Raw genomic sequence first — 19,236 nt, 5'->3', positions numbered from 1 at the left:
GTATGCCATGCTGTGTGCCAAAACAATGCATGTAAGCCCTCCTTCATATAATGAATGTAAGCTTTCCTTCATAAAATAGCACAGCATTGCAGTTTTATGGAGGAAGTTGCAGTCACAAACTCAGCCACTCCACTCCTTCCTCTCCCCTCCCCAAGTCATGCTCCTAGGACTATCTGTGTTCTTAGCCCTAGACTATATGAAGGCCTCTTTATCAGGGACCGTGTCTGGGGCACATTTCTCCACTTTAACTCAGTATGTTTCCACTCCTAGCCCTTCCTCTTCTCCCTCACCACCTACCCGTGGGGGCTTAAAGAGGCAAGAAGCTTTTATTCAATTCTCAGCCGAGAGGCAATTATCATCATCTACACTGCACCTATCTGACCCTCACCTAATGCCATTCCACAGGGAACAAAAAAATGGAACATTTGGGAGTCAGAGCTTTTTTAACCTCTTTCTTAAGGCTGCCACCGTAAGTAAATAAAGCCTTGGTTCATACTGTCTGTCTCATTGTCTTAATTGACCACTTCAACACCTGTTTGCTTGACAATAATCAACTTAGTAGATGCATTAAAAAAAGCACTTGAAAAATTCAACAATATGAACAGTATTCATAATGAAAACTCTCAGCAAACTTGGAATAAATAAAATTTCATCACCCTGATAATACATATCAATAAAATACTACAGCTACATCATACTTAATGGTAAAAGAATGAAAGCTTCCCTGGTAATATTTGGAAAAGAAAATGGAGGCAATTGCACCCACTTCTATTCAACATTTTATTTGTCCTAGTCAATACAATAGAAACAGCAAACAATAATAGGTTAGTAAATTTTCAGGATGCAAAAATCAATATATGAACGACAACTGGTTTCCTTTATGTTAGCAATAACCAACTGGAAACTGAAAGCAAATTATAATTTATAAAACATTGTGAACATAAGTAATTCAAAAATCTAAGCTGTTGGAACTCCTTAAATGATTTTGAGCCTTAAAGGAATTCTTATGAGGACTGAGTCAACTTTACAGGTAGCTATAACCTAAGCAACTGTGTAATCTTTGTTTTCTCTGATTATAGATTAAGCCTTCCTCACATGCATTATTTTGTAAAATGTTGAGAATGGCTGAAGGCCACCGGGGAAGACATCCTACCTATTATTGTTGACTTTTATTATAGATTAACCTCCTTCTTACCTTTCTCACACAAAAACTTCATGGTTATCACATCACCTTAAGATGAAATGTTAAATAAACACTTCTAAGTTGGAAAGGAAATGAAAACAAGCTATAGAGAAAAGAAAACAAGCCATAGAGAAAAGAAAGACTGTAACTAACTTATTGTAACCCAAGCTAACCTTGTATTAAACATGTTGTAATCCTGTTAATATTTTTGTTTGTTTGTTCTCCTATATAAGCAAGCACTTAACTTTTAACTTTCGAGCACTGACCCCATTTCTCTGGAATCTTTTTCTCCCAGATGTCTATTCTTAGCTTTATGCTTAAGTAAACTCTTTAAAACTGAATTTCGGCCTGGTGCAGTGGCTCACGCCTATAATTCTAGCACTTTGGGAGGCCGAGGCGGGCGTATCACGAGGTCAGGAGATGAAAACTATCCTGGCTAATACGGTGAATCACCGTCTCTACTAAAAATACAAAAAATTAGCCGGGCATGGTGATGGGCGCCTGTAGTCCCAGCTACTCGGGAGGTTGAGACAGGAGAATGGCGCGAACCCGGGAGGCGGAGCTTGCAGTGAGCTGGGATCGCGCCACTGCACTCCAACCTGGCAGACAGAGCAAGACTCCGTCTCAGAACAAAACGAAACAAAAACTGGATTTCGACTCTTGTAATTATTTCAGGTTGATGACATAAAACACTTAAAGTAATTAGGGATAAATTATGTCAACACATTTCAAAACTTGTTCAATGAAAACTCTAAGACATTGCAGAGAAAATTAAAAGCAAAATTTTCTCCTTTGAAAGATACCAATGAGAAAGTAAAAAAGCATGTCATAGACAGGAAATATTGATGATATGTGGATATGCATATTTGTATATAATTCTAATAAATAAATGTCATTATATATATAGTTGATAAAAACCCATATACAGAATGTGTAAAAAATTCTAACAACTTGATAATAAGACTAAAAACCCAATAAAATATACGCAGACTGTCCAAAACAATAGCCTCTTCTAATTTTGTATAATAGCATTTAAGTCTGTGAGGTTTCTAGGCTTCTGTTGACCTACCTCAAGCTCACTGATTCTTTCATTAGTCATGTCCAGTCTATTGATGAGCTTATCACAGATGTTAAAAGAAAAACCTTAGACAAATAAATGTAACAGAGTTTAATTGAACAAAGAATGATTTGCAAGTTGGGCAGCCTCCTGTACTAGAGTAGGCTCAGAGAGATTCAGCTCAGCCATGTGGTAGAGAAAGATTTATGGACAGAGAAAAGAAAGTGACACAGAAAACAAGTGAGGTACAAAAACAGCTGGATTGGTTACATCTTGGCATTTGCCTTATCTGAATATGGTTTGAACAGTTGGCCACTTTTGATTGGCCAAGACTTGGCGACTGGCCCAAGAGTAGGTTACAGTCTGTTTACATATCCAGTTAGGTTTTAGTTCCCTATGTACAGAGAAACTTTTATGCCAAACTTAAAATATGTGAAGAAGCAGCTTTAGGCTAAACTTAATTTAACACAGAACTTCTCCATTTTTATTTCTAGCATTTCCTTTTGATTCTTTCTTAGAATTTTAATCTCTCTAATAACACTACACATCTGTTCCTACAAGTTGCCTACTCTTCCATTACAGCATTCCCGTGTGATAATTGCAACATCTGTGTCATACCTGGATCTGTTTCAGTGCTTCCTTTGTCTTTTCCCACTGTGTTATTATTTTTTCCTCTAATGTGGCTAAGAGTTGCGCCATGTTTCATCTTTGCAGCAGCTGTGCCTCCCAGAAGCTTCATATTTTTCTGTTGTACTTGATTTTGTCTTGACCTTCGTCTCCAATAAATACTACTCCTAAGAGATAGTCTGTGTCTTTCACTTGTTTCAGTTATAATCCACTATTATTTTATTGGAGCCTGGTGGGTGTGATAATAAAGTGTGGGAGTTGGAAGCTTCTGTAATATTTCTGTTCAGTCTCAGTCTTTTAGTGGCTCTATGTCTCTAATCTGTGACCACTACAAGCGTTTCTTCTTCTATAGTTTTTCATCCCACCCCTGCACTTAGATGAGATAGGAAGGCTAGAAGGAGGTGGAATGAGAAGAATATCCATCTCCCATTGCTCTGGGAAAAGGCTTTGTTTTGTAAAGTCTTTTCCCTGGATAATAGGCCTTCGTTATGGAGAAGTCTCTGGCGGAATTTCAGAATGATTTCTCTTCCTTTCTTCCTGCTAGAGACAAAAGGATCTTTTTCTCAGACCTTCAACCTTGAAAACCTGATGGATTTCCTGGAGACAAAACTCATGAAAATTTTGCCACCTTCCCCAAGCAAGAATGGGGCTCCTGGGAATTTCTTTCTGACATGCTGGTTCACACTCAGTCTAAAGCAGTTCTCCAAAGTTACCATTGCAGTATTCTTACCATTTTACAGGTCCAGCGGTTTTTGCTGGGTGGACAGATTTCACCTGTGACTTTTTGAATCCACCTGTCTCTTCAGATTTCAGGGAGGTAATGTGCCCTGCAAACTCAGTTCTCTGATGGATCCAAGAAGTCATTGATTTTTAGTTTGTTTGCTTTTTCCTATCAAAATGATGGGATTGACTATTTCTAAGATCTTTTTAAGTTGGAGCTAAAACCGTCTCATAAATAATTTTAATGACCAAACATTTTTAAATTAATTATAGTTAATTTGGCTCACTTATAGTTTGTTCAATGTTTAGTTTTAGGATTTTTTTTAACCAATATAAATAATGCAGGGAGCAACAGTATTTTTTATATTATGAATTAATTTAAACTAAACATCTATAATTAAAACCATTGTGTCCAAGTTTATGTACGTAAAAAGTAAAGTAGAAGTTCCTCTTCAAAGAGATTTTCCTCTCCATCTAATTAGGAATAAATAGTAACTTCTCTTAGAAGCAAAATTTATTCAAGGACCTGTGCTAACAATCTTAGATATCTGCTAACTGTAATAAAGAAATCAATGTACTTTGTGTTCTTAGCTCCCACAATTTAGCCTGAATACTTGCCCTGCCATGCTTATATTGGTCCAAGCAAGCATTAGGTCATAGCCAATTCCTCTTCCTTATTTGGAGGTGTTTTTACCTTTCTCAGCTTTCCACAAGTTACTTCCTCCTTCCTTTGTTCTCCTCTGCTTTTACATCTTTTAGAAAGTTCTAAGTTGCTAGCCAATTAGGACAAATACAGAATATGAGCTCCCTTTCCAGCCAATGGAAACTGGACACAGCAGTAGGGTGGATGTGTCAGGTTATAAACAACCCTGTCTCCTTTGTTTGGTGTACTCTGGTGGCAAAACTGCTGGCAACTGTACCCTTTCTGCAGAAGGTAAAAAAAATGGCCTTCCTGAGAAAATTAAATTTATGTTCAAATGCTATTTCGTTATGGCACTGGGGAACAAGCATTTCTAACATGTATATTATTGTTTCAAAGTCTACATCCTTATTGGCCTATAAAACTTATATTACTCTGGGCTTCTGAAAAAGTTAATAAAAGTGCCCTGTTATTATTGAACCTTTTGAACAATGCACATTTTCATTTAAAATTTGACATCTATTAAGTATAATATTATTTGATTACTAATGTAATTAATTACTAAAACATTGGAGAATGCATACATATGATGATATTTGTATTAACTATTTTCTCTTTTTTGACTAATTATTAGCTTAGTGCAAAAGTAACTGCAGTTTTTGTCATTATTTTTTTTTTTTAGATGAAGTCTTGCTCTGTCACCAGCTGGAGTGCAGTGGTGCCATCTCGGCTCACTACAATCTCTGCCTCCCAGGTTCAAGCGATTTTCCTGCCTCAGCCTCCTGAATAGCTGGGATTACAGGTGTGCGCTGCCACACTGAGCTATTTTTATATTTTTAGTAGAGTCAGGGTTTCACCATGTTGGCCAGGATAGTCTCAATCTCCTGACCTTGTGATCCATCTGCCTCGGCCTCCCAAAGTGCTGGGATTACAGGTGAGAGCCACCGTGCCCAGCCTGTCATTACTTTCAATGGCAAAAACTGCAATTGCTTTTGCACCAACCTATATGTCCTGTACCCATTTTCATATTGGGATCTTAAAAGACTATTAATATTTAAACATTTTCTATGCATTAAAATATTAATCCTTTGTCATATTTATTGAAAATATTTTATGTAGCCTATTGTTGTCTTTAATTTTGACATAATGTTGACTTTGAAATAGATCAATTTCAAGTTGTGTGTATTCGGTATGCCAATGCCTCACTTTGTAACTTCTCCTATTACTTCTAAGTTTAGAAAGTCCTTCCCAATCTAGACTAATGACCTTTTAATAACAATGGTGGGCTGGGCACAGTGGCTCATGCCTGTAATCCCAGCACTTTTGGAGGCCGAGGTGGGCAGATCACTTGAGGTTGCGAGTTCGAGACCAGCCTGGCCAACATGATAAAACCCTGTCTCTTCTAAAAATAGAAAAATTAGCCGGGTGTGGTGGCAGGCACCTGTAATCTCAGCTACTTGGGAGGCTGAGGCAGGAGAATCGCTTGAACCCAGGAGGCAGAGGTTGTAGTGAGCCAAGATCATGCCACTGCACTCTTACCAGCATGACAAGAGCGAGACTCCATCTCAAATAAATAAATAAATAACAATGGTGTATTAATCCATTTTCATGCTGCTGATAAAGACATACCAGAGACTGGGAAGAAAAAGAGGCTTAATGGACTTACAGTTCCACATGGTTGGGGAGGCCTCACGATCATGGCAGAAAGCAAGGAGGAGCAAGTCACATGTTGCATGGATGGCTGCAGGCAAAGAGAGAGCTTGGGCAAGGAAACTCCCACTTTTAAAGCCGTCAGATCTCATGAGACTCATTCACTATCACAAGAACAGTGCAGGAAAGACCTGTCCCCATAATTCAATCATCTTCCACTGGGTTCCTCCCATGATATGTGAGCATTGTGGGAGTTACAACTGAAGATGAGATTTGGGTGAGGATACAGCCAAACCATATCAAATGGCAACATACATTATCTGTAATTTTCTGACCTTTTTTTCCACCATTTTAATAATTAACATGCCACTGGAACTTCAGTAGGGAATGCCTACTAGTATTTTCATGCTTTTTAATAGTCTCCAACCTGTTGGTACCTCTTGACACTCTTCTTGGTGATTTTATTTGACTTTAGCACTTCCATGAGAAATGTCTTTATATCCTGAATTATAACCCATTCCAATTTGTTTTGTTGATATCACATTAAGAGGAAGCGTCAACCCATATGATTGATTGTGTGCGGTTTCACTTTCTTATAAAACAAATGACAAACTCTTCTATGAAGTTTCTTGTTACTCTTCAATTAACTCAGGGAACACTAAAATAAATTATTTACTTCTAGTGATTTTTTAAATGATAATTCATAATTTTTAAGCTGTGTCCTATAATAACAGCCTGATTCATATGTATCAAGATTCCATACACTATACAAGCATATTATTTTTCTTCTTTTGCTCCCATGATATGTTGATATATATTGTACATATTAAGTGCAAATGAAAGAATAAGTCCTCTTACAACTATCACTTTTTTTTTTTTGAGACAGAGTCTTGCTCTGTCACCAGGCAGGAGTGCAGTGGCATGATCTCAGCTCACTGCAACCTCCGCTGCCTGGGTTCAAGCAATTCCCCTGCCTCAGCCTCCCGAGTAGCTGGGACTACAGGTGCACACCACCACGCCCAGCTAATTTTTGTATTTTAGTAGAGACAGGGTTTCACCATGTTGGCCAGGATGGTGTTGATCTGACTTCGTGATCCGCCCACCTCGGCCTCCCAAAGTGCTGGGATTATAAGCATGAGCCACTGTGTCTGGCCACAACTATCACTTTTTATACCAGATTAACATACAGATATTACCATATATTATATATTTTAAGAAAAGCCAAAATGTCCACAGTATTTCATTTCCCAACGTATTAAAAATATATAGTGGATGTTTGTGACATGTGAAGGCTATCTATTTCTCAACAATTTTTCTATATTTTGGGAAATCTTTAACTAGGTCCCACCTCTCACAAGTACAATGGAGGCTAGGTATTTCTAATGCCTCTCCTCCGCCAGGCTGGGTAAACTGGAGACTTGAAGTCTTGAGACTTGAAATGATTCCCATTGGTGTATAAAGAATGACAGTGGCTATGGCAAACAAAGTGGTGGTAGAGTTTGTTCATTGCTGAGACTTGATTCTATAGCCTTCCATCTGATTCTGTAAGATCTGACATTGCTTCAAAAACTTACTCTTATGCTTAAGCTAATGTAAGTTAATTTCTGATTATTGCAAAAAAGCAATTTAATCATACAGAGGGATACACTGAGGCCAGGTGTGGGGACTTATGCCTGTAATCCCAACAGGTTGGGAGGCTGAGGCAGGAAGTTAGCTTGACCTAGGAGTTTAAGACTAACCTGTGCAATATATTGAGACCTTGTCTCCACAAAAACTTTTTAAAAAATTATCTGGGCATGGTGGTGTGTGCCTATAGTTCTAGCTACTTGGGAGGCTAAGACAGGAGGATCACTTGAGCCCAGGAGGTCAAGACTTCAGTGAGCCATGATCATGCCACTGCACTCCAGCCTGGGTGACAGAGTGAGACTCTGCCCAAAGAAAAGAGAGATACTTTGATATGTACGTGATTTCTTATATCAGAAATAGCACTCCAAAAGAGAGCCAAATCTGTCATGTTTTTATATCAAAAAGGAAAAACTAACTTACCATACTATGAACATTAAAAATCACTTGTATGGCTGCATATCAAGAAGAAAACATATGAAACAACAACTCTTTTAGATGATATTATACATGTCTCTTTTCTTAGATACTGTCATTTGCATGACTAGGAATTCTTCAAATTAATTTTCAGTTTATAAGAAAGTCAACCTACCTTAATAAAAATACAGTTTACAAGTCAAATATTATTAGAATCATATTTACCTTTGCCCAGGAGAAGATGATCTAAAATGACATTTTGAACCAAAGCAATTTTGCAGCATATTGCTATGGCTTCTTTTATTTAACCAAAACATATACCACAAAAGATTAAGATTACTTTGCACATTTATTTTAAGGACCTATGTAATACTGAGGTTTTCCATGGAATGCAATATTCATATGAATCTCAAAGGAGAACATATGGAGATTAATTTGTGGTTTTGCCAAGTTCCTTCAAATTCAAAATTTTACAGTATCAAGAGCCAGTGAGAAGTTCTATATTTAAAATCTAAGTGTGAAGTTATATCATTCTTTTAACCATTTAAAAATATTTACTGTTATTTTTCTTTGGAGAGGAATGCAAGACAGAGTTCATACTATTAAGGAACTCTCAATATAGTAGCAGAGTTGTCAGGAGCTAAGGCTCTGTGTCAGGAAATGTTTCCTTGAAGAGGTAGGCTTGTACAGACTGTAAGTATATGATTTCTGAGGGAACAAATACATAACAGGTAAGAGAGTCTGGGCTCAGATAAAGACAATAGGCAAACTCATGGAAATGCAAAAGGCCAAAAAACATTTTCAGAGAGTTGCAAGTGATGTGACTGAGTATACAGTCTAATGGGACTAGCGGTGAGAAATAAGATGGTAAGACAACTTTTTTCAGTTTTTGTTGGATATTGGATTCCACTAATAATCTTAGGAAAGCTGACTCAACTAGAAAAGATGCATACTACATTTTATTAAGGGTTTATGGGCAATATTATGTCCATCAAATGACTCAAAATTATATACAGCTGGTTATGCTGTGATGTTTCCATTCTACTTTATATGCACCAGGAAACATAAGTGATTTTAAAATGGGACAAGATAGTACAAGAGGTTTATATGATGTCATCATGCATCCAAATGACAGTGACACAAGTATTCACCAGCATTATTTCCCAGGTTACTGCATCTTGTCAGATAATACATTATGACTTCGTGTTGCCTTGTTATTGCCTCTATTATAGCTAACCTATGCCTAATTGCAATTTTTTGGTTGGGCTGGCTTCTGTCAATCACTCTTTGGGCTTTAGGCTGGGGACACTGTGTTCTCCTTTATATTATTTCATCTCAACTAGGAACACAGACTCTTTTCCTCTATCCCCACAGCAGAACCAATGCTAAGGCCATAATTTTAATCAGAGTTTAATGAAAGGGTAAGGATCATGAATGAGAATTACAGAACAGAGAGGAAAGTAAAACTTCTGGCCAAGCTTGGGGCTTCTCATCAATTTCATCCAATATTTTCCTAACAACTGTTTCAGGGCTCTTGTGCACTTAGAATTTGAATACATTTATTCTATTGCCCAGAAATAGAAGCTTCTCTTCTTCATATAATATCCCTTTGATGAGATTTATTCCTTATTCCAGTATTAATCTTCCTAGGTTGACTGACACTGAGAACATTAATTCTTCTCAGTGGGGTGGTGGCCTCCAATGGGAGAAATCAACAATTCTCTTTCTCCTATGTGTGTATGCCTTTGCACCTATGGTGAAGGGGAGCCTGTTTCTCCACCCTTCCATCACAAATCTGAGCGGGCCTGTGACTTGCCTTGATTAATACAATGTGGCAGAAGTAAGGCTCTGTCAGTTCCTGGGCTAGTTATCAAGAAAGAGACCTTGAAACTTCTGATTTCTTTAAAACCAGCACTGTATAGGATGTCTGATTACCGTGAGAGCATGAGCTGTGCTGAATCTCCAGCTAGCCACAATGAAAAGCCTTTTGGAGAGAGAATGTCCAGTCAACCTCCCAGCTGTTCCAGCCTTTCCAACAGAGGTATCAAACAGGTGAGTGATAAAGCCACTGCTATGAAGTGAGTTATGTCTCTTCCCAAATTCATATGTTGAAACCCTAATCCCTCAATGTAACTGTATTTGGAGATACGGCCTTTAGATATGTAAATAAGGGTGAATAAGGTTATAAGAGAGGAGCCATAATTCAAGAAAATTGTGCCCTTATAAGAAGAGGACAAGACACTAGGAACACAGAAGCACAAGAAAAATTTACACAAGAACGCAGTGAGAAGGCAGCTGTCCGCAAGCCAAGAAGAGAGGCCTCAGAAGAAACCACACCTGCCAGCAACTTCATCTTAGACTTCTAGCCCCTAGAACTGTGAGAAAATACATTTCTATTGTTTCAGCCACACAGTCTGTCCTAGCAGTCTAATACTGCCACCTCAGAAGTTTCAGCCTAATAGACACCAGCTAGAGCAGACAAAGTGCCCAGCTGAGCCAAACACAGAGAGCAGAATCATAGAAATAATACATTTTGTAGAATTTTCTTATGTGGTGATAGATGACTGCAACAAGGGTAAAATCTACCCCTATCCACAAGGCATTTGTTGGTAAAATGGCCTTGACAAACATTTCTTGCTAAGATCTGGGACATTTGGTGTTATTCATGAATACCTGTTACAACTCACTACTCTCAGACTTTGCTATGGTCCCTAACTGAATAACTGCATTTGACAATGTGGTTTATTATAATAATACTTCATAATTTGTACCATAGTTGCCTTTTGGTGGGGGATGATTATGCTTCCTAGAATAGGATAAGGTATTAATTAAATAACTGGTGAATATTATTTGTTATTAATTATTTATGATTTTAAAAAATTCAATTTAATAAGTGAAATTGGCATAAACTTTTCTTTTGGAGGCTAACAATCACTAGTATTAATTTGTGAATAACATAATATAGCAAGGTAAAATGAATCTGAAGTTTTCCAATTTTTTTCTGTACTGTGGAACAGATTAGGGAATATATTAACTACATGTTCCCCAAATAATACAAATAGATCATTAATTGACTTTCCAATTAGCTTAATGCTTTTTTCTATATTTTTGTGTCAATAAGAGTAATTTTTATTTTCCCAAAAATTAATTTATTTCACAAAGATATTTAAATTTTTGGTATACCATGTGGGATATTTTCACTGATTCTCAATCATACCTGCAGTATGTTTATTTTCTCTGATTCTGTTATGTTTTGTGTGTGTGTTACTTTTTATTTTCTTGATCAAATTTTAGTTACAAGAAATGAAATTTGGAGTTACTTGAGATGTCTCCATTTCAAAATATTTTATTTTATTAACTTCTTTTACTTGTATTAAGTCTTTCTATATATCTTTTTGAGTTTTAAAATTTTGTCTTAATGTATGTATACTGAATGGATAGTGGGAGGAGTGGTTGGAGGGAGGAGTAGATGAATGGATGGGCAGGTACCTCTTTTAGGCTGTACATTTTTCTTTCCAGTACTTTAGCCATATCTCCTGTTCTGAACTGAATGCCACCCCACCCCACCATCTTAGAGAACCTTTAAGGAACTAAGTAAGGTTAAAGGCAGTAATAAGGGTGGGACCCTTATGAAATAGAAGTTGTATCTTTATAAGTAGAGTGACACCAGATCTCTCTCTCTCTCTCTCTCGCTGTAAGCACAGAGGAAAAGGCCATGTGAGGACACAGCAAGAAGGTGGGTGATTTGCAAGCTAGGAAGAGAGTCTTCACCAGAAACCAAATTTGCTAGTATCTTGCTCTTGAAATTCAAGCCTCCAGAATCGTGAAAAATAAGTTGGTTGTTTAAGCCACCCAATCAGTGGTACTTTGTTATGGCAGCCCAAGCACACTAAAGCATCCCCAGTACCTGATATGCATCATTTTAATTGCTTGGGTTATTATTAACTCTTCTTGTATTTTCCTGGTTCTTGGAATAGTTTCTTTGCACATTCACTCATTCTGTCACTTTATGGACTCTTACAGACATTTTTGTTTAAACAACATATTATCTCAGTGAGAAATTTGGAGTTCAAGATGAATAAGTAAATTTTCCAGGGTTTAAAAATACATTATTGCTGGTCTAGTTTTGAATTGTTAGGCTATTTTACTTAATTTTATTCTCATTTAAAACAAGTAGCCAGAGGAAAAAATTGTGAAGTACATATATTAGGAGGATTCTCTCCTGGCTCCATTATACTAAGAGCTGGTTACATATGTAAGATAATTGTTTACCCATAAGGCCCATGGAATAATATCCTGTCCCCATTGAAAGGAATGTGAGAAAGTAATTTATTACTAACTGAGCACTGAGGTATTTGATGTCTTTCACTTATCATAACTAAGTAAACAGTCTTTAGTTTACAAATGAGGAAACTTGATTCAGAGGTGTTTAATTTTCCAAGCTTATATTGATAATGGACACAGTATATAAGATTTGAACTTAGATATTGCTCCAAAGATTCTGATTTTCCAGGAAAATTTCCTTATAGTAAGCAGAGTAAAATTAGCTGTCAAAATAGGATGCTTTCTAACCCTCCTGTAAGTGAATTTGTCATTTGGAGCATATTTTATTTGTAAACATTTCAAATTTCTCATTTGTGAAAATGCCAAACATCCATACCTGAAAACTTTACATTTCATGAAGCAGGCTGTAACGTACCCTTCAGTGAGTTGGGGGTTAAAGTGGGCTTTTCAACAAGCAAGGCAACACTGACCTGCAGGCAGAATGCTTCAACAAATCAGTCAGATTTGCTTACTGGACTCATGTCTCCTGCTAAAGTCGCTGTCACAGAATTACTTTTATTTTGTGCTCACTGTACTAAATTTTATTAATTTTTAAAAAAATTTTTAGATGTTTCTGATTCCATAGTGTTTATTATCCAGTTCTCTTAGCAAAAAAATTCTGGTATTTATAGAAAATGCAGAAGACAAATGATAAGCAAATATATATCCCTCAGAGAAAAAGATGCTACATCCAGATATTATTATGCAAATTTGCCAAGCAAGGTCAAAGTGTACTAGTGGGGAAGATAGAAAAGGAACAGTTAAGGATATTAATTCAAATCCTGAGAAACTGTTTACTGATAGGAAAGGTTTAGATACTAAAATGAGATAAAATCGATACAAAATTGTACCATTTATCTATTAATTGCCTGACTTTGGGTGGGTTATTAAACTTGGTTTTTATGTTTATAAAATTTGTATAACAATATCTCTCCCTAGGGTTGTTGCAGGTTTATTTAAATTACGTACCTCTGTGTTTTGCTCTATCTTGTGTAAAAACTGAAAAATGATTCAGAGAACAGAGAGCAAAGCAAATAACATTGGTTTAAAAAGTGTAAAATATACCAGGAATGAGAGAGACTTATCTCCACTAACCAGGTGGGAATTGGAACCAATGTCAAATTAGCTAAATATCTCAAAGGAAAATACTTAAAACATAGGTGAAAAAAGATAAGAGAATTCTGAAGAAATAAGGGATCCTTTTCTTAAAGGATAAAAAAATTCATGATATTCCTGCCAGTTACCTGATGGTAATAAAATACAATGAAATGATACCCTAACTCAGGTGGGGTATCTGATGATTGGCAAATAGGGAATATGGAAGTAAAGAGGGAAAACATCAGATGAGGAGATGGAAGCAGAAAAGTGGGAGAAGACTGAATATGTCTATGGGATGTACAACAGATTTCCTCAGAGAAATGGAATTACCCCTGCCTGAAGTTGGTCACTGGCTCTCTTAAGGGCAAAGAGTCATAAATGAAGTTAAACTGAGAGTGGTTGATGTTCAGAAATTATAATGTGAATAGGTCTCCATAATATTGGATATTAAAAGACCCCTGGAAATTTATGCAGGAGCCCCAACCTTTCCTGAGGAATGACTAGGAGATGGTCCTTATTCTCAATCTTGATTTGCTGCTAATGATTTGGGATCTTGAGGTTTGTAGTACTGCTTGGCTAAGTATTGATGCCTAGTTGAGTTATTAGTGGGTGCCCAAATTATATTTTTTAATCTTTTCTGATTACTGATAACATAAATTCTGTGACTTACAAGTTAATCTGATGGAAGTGATTAAGATAAGATGTAAGAAAATTTTTAGGTATTTGGCCAAATATCTTAAAGGGTAAGTCATCTTTAAATAGCACTAATAATGACTCCAAAATTGTATGAAAATATTAAAACAAATTTCATACATGCATATGGGAATACTTGGCTTAATATTTTAACCACCTCTGTATTCATATATATATATATATATATATATATATATATATATATATATATATATGAATATGCTTACACAAACACATAGCACCACTAGCACCTCACATTATTCATTAGAGAAGAATATAAAAAGCCACCAACATCGATCAGTATCATTGAACTGCTCATCTTCTGTTAAAAATACAAGGAAATGACTTACATAATGGCATATCCACAGCACAAGTTGAGATATATATAAGGCATTATGAAGAGCTCATCTTCATAAATGGCCATCAAAACTGTCATTAATAGAACTCAACTTATAAAGAAAGTGATGTATGGTGAAACTGACATATTGAAGGGACTTGCTTAAGTATTGAGTGTGGAATGTTGACTTTCAACAAAAGTATAGAAGTTCTGTCTTGCCACACTTATTGGACCAAGCTCAGCAGTTCTTAAATTCTAAATTAAACAAATACTTTCTGCATATTCACTGCAGCAGCCAATTACATAATGCATTGTAAATTATGGTTAAAAAGACTGTTTTCTTTTGAAAGTGTGATACAAGGCAGGCACAGAAGAGAAGCAATCACCATTGTATTGCTTCCTCTTCACAGAAGAAATGTGTTTAGAACAGTTAGCAAAATACCTGGATCTCATTGGCATCTAACATTCCAATCACCTGCTATTCAACAATTTTTCATTTTCTTGATGTGCTGGATTTTGCAATGTTTGTTAGCGTGCAATATGTCATCTCAGCGTAGACACACCAGTATTATATGATCCCTTTCAGTTTTGTGCATGGGAGTGTTAATGTTGTACTATAGTATTGCAGCTACATTTTCTGTATCTCACTAGTTTGAAGGAGTTAGTTGCATCCTTAGAAGTCCAAGTGAGACTGAAGGTTAGAAACCGTGAGTCCAAGTAATAGCCAGTTCATTTAATAATTTGTAAAAAATTTCTGATGAGACGATCCAGGCTTTATCTGTGACATTCCGTGTTAAAAAATCCCATTGTAAAGAATTTACTCAGATAAATTATTGAAGAACAGGATGAATTCATTGTTGTATAATTTTAATAAAATATATATTGCCTAGGGTCACAGGACAAATCAATGTGTTATAAAATACATACTATGCTCTCACTCATATATTCTTATTGATATTTTTATTCATGAGGAATAAACAAAGGTGCACGCTGCTATTCTTCACAGAGAATAAAGCATGAGAAAGATATCAAGGGGGTATTATGGTCAACATTTCAATTGTGTGCTAGGCAAAGACTGGGCCTTAAAACTATATTTGAGTAAAGAATGAATAACTAGAATAGAGATTGGATTCTGGAAGCCAACTTTAGAATAATAGGCCAAAGTTAAAACCAAGTTAAGAAACAAATGAAAAATAGGTCAGTGAATTGTACAAGAAGGTAACACAGATTCAGGAGTCAGCCCATTACAAGGGTGAGAACATCTTTTCAACTTGTCATCTTTCTAGCTTTTTCTAAATCTTACACTGAGGCACTGTATTGTAAGGCATTTTTTTTTTTTTTTTTTTTTTTTTTTGCCATTGACTTATGGCTGTAAACCTCTGGAGGGAAGTAAGAGGTGGCAAGGGAACAAAGCAGGGTAGTATGAAAATGTAAGCATGAAAAATGAATGAAAGATGAGAGAAGGGGTCACTTGGGCATCAGCTGAGTATGACAGGCTCAAGCTCAAATGGAGCTCTGGCAGAAAGTTGACTGTATCCCACAGGTTATCATTCCAGATAGCGGCAGAGTTCTGGTGGTTTGCTAGTAGCCAGCTGATCAATGTATTTATGCCCTAATTTATGGCTTATCATTAGTCTGCCCCTCAGAGACATTTAATGGTTATTTTTTGGTGCTATTTATTTATCTACTTATTTATTTTCCTGCAGAATCATAACACAAAGCTTATATTATCTCAAACAGCTGAAAATGCAATGTTTGAACCCCTAGTTTCCCTAGCCTTTCCATCTCATGCCAGAGTAGGGGCTGGTACACTACAAAATCAGAACGGCCAGGGTTGAAAAATGAAAATTACTGTAAAAATATGCTACTGGTACCAAAAGATTTGGAATTCAGGCTTTGATTCTGACGGAAAAATGGTTAATGTTTCTGAAATGATGTAACTTAAAAAGTCTCAACAGATATAGGTTAGAAAACTTGATGTTAAAGACAGTGGATCCTTAAGCTCTCCCAGAATGCAGTGGGCAACCAGGGAGCCCAGGCTGTCATGGGATTCCTAGGGTGTCAATTTGCCAGCCAGAAACCTCTGTGGCTGGTGGTGCCTCTGCTTAGGTTTTGCTTGTGCTCGCTGGGCTCATTCCACCCACTCAGCCCAGCAGCCCCTGCTCGGCTTGTGCTACCAGCCGCATCCCCTAACTGCCATGGGCAAGCCAGGCATGGAGCAGTGAGGGATGTGTGAGCAAGTGAGTGCAGGGTCCAGCCACTGCACACAGCCAGGTGCTCCAGCTGTGGCAGAGGGGTGGGCGGTTCCAGGCACTGGCACAGGCACCAGCTCCATGGAAGACTGAAGCTAGACCAGGCATATTAAAAGCAGCTTTGGCTGTGGGCACCAGCATCTAGACAAGGGGAATGCGATGGTGCCCAAAAGCAGAGCCCCAAAGAGAGTGCCACAGCCCTAGTTCAGGGAGACCTGATGTCTGCATTCCCAGAAGGGCTGCAGCTCTTTTCTCCTCATCACTCACAATGTGGTGAGCAGGGGGCATATTTCAGCCCTGTTTGTGTTACAGCTCTTTCATTCTCACCATTCAGCAGGTCCCAGTTCTTTTCCTGCATCTAGGAAGAACGAGATACATGGACAATTTGAGGGTGAGGAAGGCAGAGGAGCTTCACTGAGTGACAAAACAGCTTTCAGGAGACCCAAAGTGGGTAGCTCCTTTCCATAGGCAAGTTGTCCTGATGGGGTTCCAGCTCACAGAGGAGAGGAGAAACATGGCAAGTAGCTCCTTTCTGCAGGGATGTTGTCCTGACGAGTGTGCAAGTCTGGCTGAGTCCAGGGTTTTCATGAGCTCAGAAGAGAGGAAGCGCATGCTGATTGGTCCATGGGCAGCCACGGATGGGCCTGGAAAAAGCACCATAAGTTCTCACTCTCCATGACGGACTCTACCTAGAACTGGCAGCCCGGCTCCCAGGCTTCAGGCCACCCCTGGCTTGAAGCTGGGGCTTCACCAGGGACCCACCCCTTTCCACTTAGGAACCTGTCTGCCTCCTGCTGCCATCAACATGCTGTTACTGGAGCCCAGGCTCTTCACCCCAAAGGGCACCTATAAGGCCTGTGCTGAGCGTCCCTCAGCCCCTCCATCCCACCTCCAGCCTCCCTCCCTGAGCTCTTCATTGTCCAAAGCTTCAGAGGAGGCTGAGGCAGCAGGAGACCTGGAGTGTCAGCGCCTCCCCGAGGGCACGCACACCTGCCAGGTCATGATAGTGCATGGGCTCAGCTTCAACTTTGCTTCAAAATTGAAGTGGGCACCAAGAGTGGGGAGAGGCCAGGGAGCAGGAAAAGGCACTTCTGAGCCTGTGGGGGCAGGGAGCTTCCCGGACCCCCAAGAGTGCAAGAATGCCCTGGTCCAGAGCTGCAGCTGGGCGGCTGCAGCTGTGTCCAGGAGTGTGGGGCTCTCGCCTCACCAACTCAGTAGGGGGTGGAGCTCCCGCCTGTTCCCAGACCCCATTGGCTCCACAAAGCACGCAGCCTCAGCAGTGCCTCCTGCACAGCAGCTGGCATCCCCACAATGGCTGTTCTAGACAGGCTGGTGCCACCATCAACATCTATCGCAATGAGCTTTCTCAAATAGAAAGCTGTAACATTCACTCATATTTGTTTACTGTTTTCCAACATTTATAACCACCACCCCATCTCAATTGAAAGGAACCACTTTCTAGTGTAGCATCTGAAAACTCAGATATTTACATTTTCATTCTCCTTTATGGCTGGACATGATTAGCATGTGACCTGATCTTAGTCAAGAAACCCAACAGCAAACCAGTTGTGATACTCTAGAAAAGGGTACCATCCGTAATTAAAAGTGACTGCTAGGAGAAAAGGCCCTCCTTATCAACCAGATGTTGACATACCTGGCTATAATATCTGGAATTCTAGAAGTCTTGATATCCTAAGGGAAGGCTAATTATTTCTCAGGGTGGTAGAACAGAGAAATGGAATAAAATTTCAGTGAATTGCTAAAAATGTAATTATAGAAAAGTCACTGTTTGTAATAATAATAATAACTAAAGGTACCTGAGAATGGTTCTAATAAAACATATGCAAAAATTGGGTATAGGCAGATGCAGTGGCTCACACTTGTGATTACAGCTACTTGGGAGACTGAGGTGGGAGGGCCAATTGAGGCCACAAGACCAAGGCCAGCCTAGGCAATATAGTAAGACCCTGTCTCTATTAAAAATAAAAAAAGGAAAAAAAACCTCTTGATATAGAAAAATCATTGAGAACCATAAAATAAGACCTAAATAATTGGTGGTGTATACAATGTTTATGAATGGATTATTTCTATTTTGCGAAGTGAACATTTCATCCAGATTATTATGCATCTTTATTATAAAAGCTATCAGAAACTTTGTGACTGTGTGCTTGTGTTGTGTGTGTGTGTGTGTGTGTGTGTGTGTGTGTGTTTGAGAGAAAGAGAGAGGAAGATGGTGTGGGGGAAGAGGGAGAGAAAAGAGAGAGAGAAAATGAGACTTCAAAAGTTAAAGGTGAGTATAAGAATTAATAAGAAATAGAAAAGGCAAAAATGTCTAAGGCAATAAGACAATATTGTCAAGGTAGGGAACTCATCCTACCAAATATTTACTTATTTTAAGCTGCTATCACTAAGACAGTAAACTTTAGGGCATAAACAGAAAAGAAGAAAAGTAGAAGAGAAAAGTAGATCTCATGTTAAGTTTTCTTACCACACACAGAGGTAGAAGAAAAGTTAGAAAGAAGATGGACATGTTCATGGTCGTAATGGTGATGGTTTTGTAGTGTATACTTATCCCCAAACTCAACAAGTTGTATACATTAAATAATGTATAGTTTT

General features: G+C 38.1%; 1 long non-coding RNA gene across 1 annotated transcript in view; it reads left to right on the top strand.

The window, feature by feature from the left end:
• Positions 1-19,236, top strand: part of LOC105378339 (uncharacterized) — a 145,924-nt gene that overhangs the window by 94,699 nt on the left and 31,989 nt on the right. The window contains exon 5 of the long non-coding RNA XR_001747476.2: positions 9,830-9,969. This is a non-coding gene — a long non-coding RNA (uncharacterized LOC105378339). The remainder of the gene's footprint in view (positions 1-9,829; positions 9,970-19,236) is intronic.

The sequence above is a fragment of the Homo sapiens genome, chromosome 10, assembly GCF_000001405.40.
Source record: "Homo sapiens chromosome 10, GRCh38.p14 Primary Assembly".
NCBI lineage: Eukaryota > Metazoa > Chordata > Mammalia > Primates > Hominidae > Homo > Homo sapiens.
The sequence above is the reverse complement of the archived record's forward strand: the minus strand, read 5'-3'. Positions and strand labels throughout refer to the sequence as shown.